Genomic DNA, 10,400 nt, shown 5'->3' on the forward strand with positions numbered 1-10,400 from the left:
GGGCCCTCAATAAGTCCTTGCTGATTATCACCCCATCACACCTTCTTTCCTAGGCACAGAAATACAGGAAGCAATAATGAGTTTCATAAGAAGTGGAGGAATCATAACAGGAGCATTGGAACATCAGACAGCTGGATCCTCCGAGTGGCCTGGCAGTCCTGGCTCCTTCCGGAGTGGCCAACCCAGCTTCCTAGGCTGAACACCGGACTGGCCTCCAGGAGCAGGAGGGTGATGAGGAAAAAGGCAGCTCATCCAAGCTGCTGTCTAGTTATCCCCATCTGTCCATCTGTCTCCTCAGCAAACACATTCTTAGTCACCACCTGGAGCCTGTGACTCTCCCAGTTATCTAAAGGGACAAACCCTTGGCCTCCTCTTCCCACTGGTGCACTACTGTGCAACCTGCACAGGCTGTGGTCATCTGACCCACTTCCTCTCTTTCATTCATAGGACTTGATGTAAATCAAGGCTCTGAGGGGACGATGGTGCCCATATAGACCCACATTGAACTGTCAGTTGTCAGGAGCTATAAAATCCTTCCAGCAGCCACGGGCAGGCTGGCAAGACTCCTAGTGGGTGGCACAGCCCTGCCCCCTGCTGCTCAACATGGAAGCTGCAGGATAGGTGACCCTGGCCAGGCTGGGAGTCTTTATGGACTCTACTGGGACAGTGGCCTCCAGACACCGGTTTTGAAAATTCATCTCTTAAATTGAGTTCTCTGCAGATCTCCCCTTGTTCTAGATTGAATTGTATCCCTCTAAAATTCATATGTTGAAGGTCTAATCCCCAGTATCTCAGAATGTGACCCTATTTGGAGATAGGGTGTTACAGATACAGTTAAGATCAAGTCATAATGAAGTAGTGTGGTCCCTAATGCAATATGACTGGTGTCCTTATTAAAAGGAAATGTGGGCAACACGTGCATGCAGGGAACACAAAGGCAGGGACTGGGGTGATGCAGCTCACACGCCAGCAACCACAAAAAGCTGGGACAGAGTTCTAGAACATTCTCCCTCACTGCCCTCAGAAGGAGCCAGCCCTGCTCACACCTTGCTTTTGGACTTCCAGCCTCCAAAAATGTGAGACAATAAATTTTTATTGTTTAAGCCACTCAGTTTGTGGCACTTTGTTACAGCAGCTGATTATGACCAAACTAATACACTCCTCGTCCAGGGTGTTCTTAGGGTAGTTGGGAGTGGTTTTAAGGCTTTACGGCATGCATATTATGAATTCTAAAGATTTCTCCGAAAACTTCGCCAAGAAATTACACAGTGGAATGGAAAATGCATTGGATCCCAGAAGACCAAGGTTCTAGACCAGGGAAGAGCTGTGTGACTTGGAACAAATGCTAAGCTCTGAGCATCGTTTATAAATGAAAGATCTGTACCTGATGCCCTCTAAAGTGCCTTTCAGCATTAAACTACATTTGTTTAAATATTGGGCTCAATCCTGTCTAGGGAAATGCAAACTGAAATATACACACATACCCTGAACAGTCCCAAGCCCCCAAAAGCAGAGAACATTTTAAGAAAAAAATTTAAAAATAACAAAGTAAAGACCGGGTGCTGTGGCTCACACCTGTAATCCCAGCACTTTGGGAGGCTGAGGCAGGCGGATCACCTGAGGTCAGGAGTTCAAGACCGGCCTGGACAACATGGTGAAACCATATCTCTACTAAAAATATAAAAATTAGCTGGGCATGGTGGCATGCACCTGTAAGCCCAGCTACTCAAGAGGCTGAGGCAGGAGCATTGCTTGAACCTGGGAGTCAGAAGTTGCAGTGAGCCAAGATTGTGCCATTGAACTCCAGCCTAGGCAACAGAGCAAGACTCCAATGTCAAAAAACAAAACAAAACAAAACAAAAACACCAGACTGCGCAGGAGCTTGCTGACGAGCTCAGAAGGTGGTAGTGGGACAAATATAGCCAAGCGAATGCTCACCTGCCTGCATGATCACCACGAAACCCTGTGATTGGGCTTCCCATGTGTTTTGCTTACAGTGGAGATGACCCTGGTCGGGCTAGCAAGGCCTGACTCATCCTGCCAGCATGTATTTCTTGGACTGCTAAATGTGTCTTTCTCTTGGGAGCCTGGTTAGACACTGAGTTCAACCAACTCTGGTCTCTGACATGGTGGAGTTTCCCAGCCCACAGAACTGAGGTGCAGCTCCTGGGACACAGAAATGCACACAGCTGACCACTCCGGAGTCACCTGGGGACACCCCAACCTGCACCCACAAAGTTTCCCATTTCTGTATCTTCTTTTTTTTTTTTGAAACGGAGTCTCACTCTGTCGCCAGGCTGGAGTGCAGTGGCACGATCTCGGCTCACTACAACCTCCGCCTCCCAGGTTCAAGCGATTCTCCTGCCTCAGCCTCCCCAGTAGCTGGAACCACAGGTGCGCACCACCAAGCCCAGCTAATTTTTGTATTTTGTTAGAGACAGGGTTTCTCCATGTTGGCCAGGCTTGTTTTGAACTCCTGACCTCAAGTGATTCGCCCACCTCGGCCTCCCAAAATGCTGGGATTACAGGTGAACACCATGCACAGCCCACTTCTGTATCTTCTGTATCTTCTGATGGAAAGGGAAGATTGAACACATCGGAAAAAAGGAAACTGGATACCAAAACAGTTCCTTCTTCCTCTCCCATCACCTAAACTTTCCAAATGAATCCTGACCTCCAGATGTAGAACCACAGCCCAGGCAACTACAATCACTTGCGTATGGAAATGGGAAGTGTGCCAGATACTTGTGTTAATCTAGACAATGCTTGTGTTCCAACAGAGGAGCAAATTAGCCAACAAAAATATCAGACACAAGACGTTTAAAAGTAGAAACAGAAAGATATAAGAAAGAAAAAAACACACACACAAATAAGGGCAGGGACAGAAAGTGGATCTAGAAATGAAGCAAAAATACAAGTGCAGCAAGGCGTAGTGGCTCACCTCTGTAAACCCAGCACTTTGGGAGGCTGAGGCGAGCAGATTACGAGACCAGGAGATCAAGACCATCCTGGCCAACATGGTGAAACCCCGTCTCTACTAAAAATACAAAAATTAGCCAGGTGTGGTGGCACACACCTGTATTCCCAGCTACTTGGGAGGCTGAGACAGGAGAATCGCTTGAACCCGGGAGGCGGAGGTTGCAGTGAGTCGAGATCGCACCACTGCACTTCCAACCTGGCAACAGAGCGAGACTCTGTCTCAAAAAAAAAAAAAAAAAAAAAAAAAGCATGCCTGAGAGTCCTATTCCGGACACTGAGGCCAAGCAGATTTCTTCAGAGGGTCCTCAACAAGGACTAAATGTCTAAATTCCTGAAGAAAGAGGCACCGCTGATTGGAGATGGGCAAAGGCTATTAGGGTTTTCAAAAAGGGGATGAATTACAGGCCAATTGGCTTGATGTCGATGCCAAATAAATTCTACATCTACTGAGTTCTAGACTACTGAAAGTTCTAAAACATCTACTGGCGATTTTTCCCTTTTTAACTGAACCATTTGGTCCTTTGAAGTGATTCATTTAAAGTTATTTTCAGCTATAATTTGGCAAAGACTCCCAGCTGTCCTCCATTTCCATTCTCCCTTTCTTGCCCAGCAAATCACCTCTGAATTTTAACTGGGCACATAGCTGCTTAAAATATAAATTATTTCCCAGCAGCTGGTGTTCTTTGAAAGTGTGGCCATTGGCCGCAGGTAAAAATGGAAAGTGTCTTCAAAGGCAGAGGCCATCCACTTCTCCCCTTGTTCCTTCCCACTGGTGGAACAGACGTGATGGCTGGAGGTGGAGCCGGTCCCGCTGGGGCACTGGGAACACAGACACTGTCCCTTCCCTGGGGATGCCTACCTTCCAGGGAACAGAAAGGGGTCTAGCCCTGGGCTCTGCATTTTAGGAAGGGCATTGACAAACTCTACTATTTCCAGAAACGTAATCAGGAGAAAAGAAGACCGTGAGAATGTATGGAGTGCTATGTCTCAGACACCAGTCTAAGTACTTTACATGTATTATGTAATCTTCACAGTAACCATACAAGGTAGGTACTCATTTCCCTTTTACAGATGAGGAAAAAGGTTCATTAACTTGTTCAAAGTCACACAACCTTTGACTCTAGCTACAGAGTCCTTATTTTGAACCCCTTCGCCAGTGCTTCTCAAACTTTACTGCACATTAGGATCCCTGAAAACTTTAAAAAAAACAGGATGCTTGGGTCCCACCCTCAGATTCTGATGCAACTGTAATTCCACCTTGGTGGAGGCTGTATGGAGAAGACAGCAGGAGCCTGGGACCAGGAGGACTGCAGAGCTATCATACCAGTCCTGGACTGGCTACACTCACAAGAATCAAGGGTAAATTTGTTTCAGCCACATGGTAGCCTCTATTCCTCAAGGCTAAACATAATCCTAAACTCCCATACACAGCAGAATTTTAAGATATGACAAAATGCATTTACTGAAAAGCATTTACATATTACTTTTTTTTTTTTTTCGAGACGGAGTTTTGCTCTTGTTGCTCAGGCTGGATGTAGTGCAATGGTGCAATCTCAGCTCACTGCAACCTCCACCTCCCCAGTTCAGGTGATTCTCCTGCCTCAGTCTCCTGAGTAGCTGGGACTACTGGCATGCACCCACCACGCCCGACTAAATTTTGTATTTTTAGTAGAGACGGGGTTTCGCTACGTTGGCCAGGCCGGTCTCAAACTCCTGACCTCAGGTGATCTGCCTGCCTTGGCCTCCCAAACTGCTGGGATTACAAGCCTGAGCCACCACGCCCGGCTCACATATTCAAACACTCAGCCTACCTTTTTAGGTATGGTTAGGCTCTTTAAAAGTGGATAATAGGCCAGGTGCGGTGGCTCACGCCTGTAATCTCAGCACTTTGGGAGGCTGAGGCAGGTGGATCATGAGTTCAGGAGTTCAAGACCAGCATGGCCAAGATGATAAAACCCTGTCTCTACTAAAAATACAAAAATTAGCTGGGCGTGGTGGCAGGTGCCTGTAATCCCAGCTACTTGGGAGGCTGAGGCAGAGAATTGCTTGAACCCGGGAGGCAGAGGATGCAGTGAGCCAAGATTGAGCCATTGCACTCCAGCCTGGGCGACAGAGCAAGATTCTGTGTCCAAAAAAAAAAAAAAGGGGTGGGGGGCAATAAGGTCATTTATAAAATTTATAAATTATCTGTTTAAAAATGTTTTAAAGTATATGTGTGGGTCACAACCAACCCTGAGGTTATTAAAGCAGCTCTGACAGTGGAGAGCCTGAGGCTCTATTTGAATGATGCTCCATCAAGTACCCGCTGAGGCTTATAGGGATAGTACATCTGCATTAAGATCACTTTCATCTACACGTTACTGCTTGATTTTTAAAAGGCTTTCAAGTTTATTCATTAGAAATCATAGTTCTCAGATTTTATTGCTATTTTCACTTTGAGAAAAATATTTAGATTTCTGTCCTATCATGGTGGGTTCAGAGACTGGTGACTTTGAAATTTAATACCTTTAGAAAACGTTATTTCAAGATGTCCCCACCCCCCATCCCTTCATTACACAGTATGGTACTGGGAGTGGTGTACATTCTGAAGTGTTCTAGAGAAAAATGATTCCAGATACTTACAGAAACAGAACTCAAACAATTGGTGAAAGAGATAAAGTTCAAGCAACTGGCTATTATACTGGATGGAACTAGAGGGTAAGAAGTGTAAACCACATAAAATTTAACACAGAAAGCAAGCCTAAACCAGGCATAGTGGCTCACACCTATAATTCCAGTGCTTCGGGAGGCCAAATTGGGAAGATTGCTTGAGGCCAGTTTTGAGACCAGCCTGGGCAACATGGTGAAAGCCCACCTATAAAATAAATACAAAAATTATCCAGGTGTGGTGGCTCGTGCTGTAGTCCCAGCAGAGGTGGGAGGATTGCCTGAGCCCAGGGAGTTGAAGACTGCAGTAAGCCTTGACTGCGCCACTGCAATCCAGCCTGGGTGACAGAGTGGGACTCTGAAAAAACAAAAGTCAAGCAAGCAGGCAAGCCTAGGCCAGGCACAGTGGCTTACACCTGTAATTCCAATACTTTGGGAGATCTAGGTGGGAGGATCACTTGAAGTCAGGAGTTTGAGACCAGCCTGGGCAACACAGTGAGACCCCATCTCTACAGAAAAATTAGATGGGAATGGTGGTGCATGCCTGTGGTTGGTCTGGGCTACTCAGGAGGCTGATGTGGGAGTTCACTTAAACCCAGGAGTTCAAAGCTGCAGTGAGATCTGATGGCACCACAGCACTCCAGCCTGGGCACCAGCGAGACTATCTCAAAAAATAAAATTTTTTAAAAAGCAAGCTCATGGGGCATATGTTCTCAAGATCTCCTGAGGGCTGTGTCACTAGCCAAAAAATAAAAATAAATAAATAAATAATAAAAAATAAAGCAAGCTATGATCCAAGCTTCCAAACAAGTCAACTACCCCCAGGGGAAAGAATCTGGCAGTATTTATAAACATTAAGTTTTAGGGGGAAAATAAAAAAATTTAAAAACATAAGTTTTAAGCCATGCTGCCAGCTGTCTTTGGAGATGTTAGAGCTAGGTCTGCATCCTGGCTGTCACTTCCTGTGTGACCCTGAGCAAGAAAATTACTTAACCTCTAATGCCATCTCTTCATTTTATAGATGAGGCACTAGCTACATACTCACAGGGCTATAGAATTAGATGAAGGCATGAAGCATGGTGCCTGGCACAGTAGATGCTCAATAATGGTGGCTATTATTGGCTAATCCCAAACTCAGCATAAGCCAACAGTATGACAAGACTTACATCAGTAGTATGCGGATCTAGGAAGACTGTTGCCTCTCTAGCCTATTTGTCTCCCTTTGATCACATTCAACATTTAACACTTGTTCATGTACACTTGCACAACACTTGCTCACCCCTAGAGGTTTCAATGGTCTGGGGTGGGGCCAGGCTTTGGGAGTTTGCAAAGCTTCCCAAGTGCAGCCAAGCTTGAAGACCACTGCTCTACATTCTATTATATGAAGCACAGGTGAAGTTACAAAAGGTAGACTACTGTTCTAGATGAAAAGTGGCCAAAGAAGGCCGGGCGAAGTGGCTCACGCCTGTAATCCCAGCAGTTTTGGGGGCTGAGACGGGTGGATCACTTGAGGTCAGGCGTTTGAGACCAGCCTGGCTAACATGGTGAAACCTCATCTCTACTAAAAATATAAAAATTAGTTGGGTGTGGTGGTGCACGCTTGTAATCCCAGCTACTCGGGAGGCTGAGGCAGAAGAATTGCTTGAACCCGGGAGGTGGAGGTTGCAGTGAGCTGAGATGGTGTCAATGCACTCCAGCCTGGGTGACAGAGCAACACTCTGTCTCACAAAAAAAAAAAAAAGTGGCCAAAGAGACAAATGCAACACACGATAATTAATCTTGGGTTGGGGAGGCTATAAAAGTCATTTTGGAAATTTTAATATGAACTGCATTATTAGATATTGTGGCATTGTTATTTATCTTGTGTGCTCATGGTATTGTGGCTACACAGAACACCTGTATTATAAAAAGCATGCTCAACTGTTTAGGGGTGAAATACCATGATGTTTGCATCCTACTTTCAAATGATCATGACACTGTGTATATAGAAAGAGAAAGCACACACAGCAGATGTTAAACACCAGCAAAGGGAAGGGTATACAACGTAGTTTCTTCGTCTTTTTCTATATATATATACATTTTTTAAAATGAAAACCTCATACTAACACTCAACCCACGGTCACCACGCTGTGATAGCTAAGCCCACGCTAGCTATTAAAGCATCACTACTTTCCTATTATTTGGTTCTCCTGTTCATAGAACACTCAGTGCTGCTGTCTCACAACATGTCTACACAAACCACACAACAAAAACTGCAAGGCCTATAGAGAAATGGGTTTAGGTGTGCAATACTCAAATCTTTGTGACACATAAAAAGGTACCAGTTTCAAATATGTCAATGGTTAAGAAATAAAGCAGTCTACCTTGACCTGCAATTTGCAGGCAGAAACACACTGGACAGCCCACCCAGCTCCCACGCGTACCACCCTGCATGAAGAGGAAGAGAACAAAAGATAAGACAAAGTGAGAGAAAACATAGAGAAAAAGAAGAAAGATTGGGCTGGGCGCAGTGGCTCACGCCTGTAATCCCAGCACTTTGGGAGGCCAAGATGGGCAGATCACGAGGTCAGGAGATCAAGACCATCCTGGCTAACACGGTGAAACCCCAACTCTACTAAAAATACAAAAAATTAGCCAAGCGTGGTGGCAGGCACCTGTAGTCCCAGCTACTTGGGAGGCTGAGGCAGGAGAATGGCGTGAACCCGGGAGGTGGAGCTTGCAGTGAGCTGAGATTGCGACACTGCACTCCAGCCTGGGCAACAGAGCAAGACACTCCATCTAAAAAAAAAAAAAAAAGAGCTATAAAATTTGCCGGGCACGGTGGCTCACACCTGTAATCCCAGCACTTTGGGAGGCCAAGGCAGGTGTATCACCTGAGGTTGGGAGTTCAAGACCAGCCTGACCAACATGGAGAAACCCCGTCTCTACTAAAAACACAAAATTAGCCAGGGTGGTGGCGCATGCCTGTAATCCCAGCTACTCAGGGGTCTGAGGCAGGAGAATCGCTTGAACCCGGGAGGCGGAGGTTGTGGTGAGCCGAGATTGTGCCATTGCACTTCAGCTTGGGCAACAACAGCAAAACTCTGTCTCAAAAAAAAAAAAAAAAAAAGCTATAAAATTTTAGCCGGGCACAGTGGCTCATGCCTGTAATCCCAGCACTTTGGGAGGCTCAGGCGGGCGGATCACGAGGTCAGGAGTTTGAGACTGGCCAACATAGTAAAAACCCACCTCTACTAAAAATACAAAAAATTGGCAGGGCGTGGTGGCAGGCACCTGTAATCCAAACTACTTGGGAGGCTGAGGCAGAATAGCTTGAACCCAGGAGGCAGAGGTTGCAGTGAGCTGAAATCGAGCCACTGTACTCCAGCCCGGTCAACAGTCCGAGACTCTGTCTCGGGAAAAAAAAAAAAAAAAAGCTTTAAAATTTTATCACCAGTGTAGTTTTGTGTATCTAACACCACAGTTGACTGTGGTGGTAGACCAGCATCGCAAGGGATCCCTGGTGTTGCTCTGGTTTGTTGTTTGGTTTTTCGAGTTTCGCTCGTTGCCCAGGCTGGAGTGCAATGGTGTGATCTTGGCTCACTGAAACCTCTGCCTCCCGGGTTCAAGCAAATCTCTCGCCTCAGCCTCCTGAGTAGCTGGGATTACAGGTACCCACCACTGTGTCCAGCTAATTTTTTTGTATTTTTAGTAGAGACGGGGTTTCACCATATTGCCCTGGTTGGTCTCAACCTCCTGACCTCGGGCGATCCGCCTGCCTCGGCTTCCCAAAGTGTCAGGATTACAGGTGTGAGCCACCCTGCCTGGTCTATGTGGTTTTTTTTTTTTCTTTAAGACAGAGTCTTGCTCTGTCACCTGGGCTGGAGTGCAGTGTCGTGATCTTGGCTCACCGCAACCTCTGCCTCCTGGGTTCAAGTGATTCTCCTGCCTCAGCCTCCTAAGTAGCTGGGATTACAGGCATGCACAACCACACCCAGCTAATTTTGTATTTTTAGAAGAGACGGGGTTTCTCTATGTTGGTCAGGCTGGTCTTGAACTCCCGATCTCAGGTGATCCACCAGCCTCGGCCCCCGAAAGTTACAGGCATGAGTCACTGCGCCCGGCCATTTCTAAATCAATCTTCCATTTCTAAAATTTTGTCACTTAAAAATGTTATAGGCCGGGCACGGTGGCTCACGCCTGTAATCCCAACACTTTGGGAGGCCAAGGTGGGTGGATCACTTAAGGCCAGGAGTTCGAGACCAGCCTGGCTAACATGGTGAAAGCCCATCTCTACTAAAAATACAAAAATTAGCCAGGTTTGGTGGCACACACCTGTAGTCCCAGATACTAGGGAGGCTGAGACAGGAGAATTGCTCGAACCCGGGAGGTAGAGGTTGCAGTGAGCCGAGGTCTCGTCACTGGACTCCAGCCTAGGCGAGAGTGAGACTCCGTCTCAAAAAAAAAAAAATTAGAGAGGTAAAACACAAATGAGGTTGAAAGAGAATAAAGAGCAGAGTGTGAGGCAGAGCCAGGATGGCCGATGGAAGGGCTGCGGCTTGCAAGCATGAGATGGGGCGTGCGGTTCTCTGGAATCAGATGGTACACCACACAGGGACGTGTGCCTTGTGTGTTCCTATGCAGCTCAGTTCAACTGGGTGTGCTTTTGTGTTCACCTAGTGCTTCCCACAGGCAAAATTACACATAAACTCATGTTATGCTCAGAGCATGCCAGCAGGACTGCCCCTCCGCCAAGAGCGCTGACTTGACCCTCTCCTCAACCTCAACCCTAGACC

At 46.5% G+C, this 10,400-nt stretch overlaps 2 annotated features.

Moving 5' to 3' along the window:
* Nucleotides 536–585: a silencer, noted in NCBI's record as "silent region_11756". NCBI's record gives its function as "represses an Ori minimal core promoter by ATAC-STARR-seq in GM12878 lymphoblastoid cells {active_cell/tissue: GM12878}" and the evidence as "EXISTENCE:reporter gene assay evidence [ECO:0000049][PMID:35858748]".
* Nucleotides 1,870–2,049: an enhancer, noted in NCBI's record as "active region_16206". NCBI's record gives its function as "activates an Ori minimal core promoter by ATAC-STARR-seq in GM12878 lymphoblastoid cells {active_cell/tissue: GM12878}" and the evidence as "EXISTENCE:reporter gene assay evidence [ECO:0000049][PMID:35858748]".

This window comes from Homo sapiens, chromosome 2 (genome assembly GCF_000001405.40).
Source record: "Homo sapiens chromosome 2, GRCh38.p14 Primary Assembly".
NCBI lineage: Eukaryota > Metazoa > Chordata > Mammalia > Primates > Hominidae > Homo > Homo sapiens.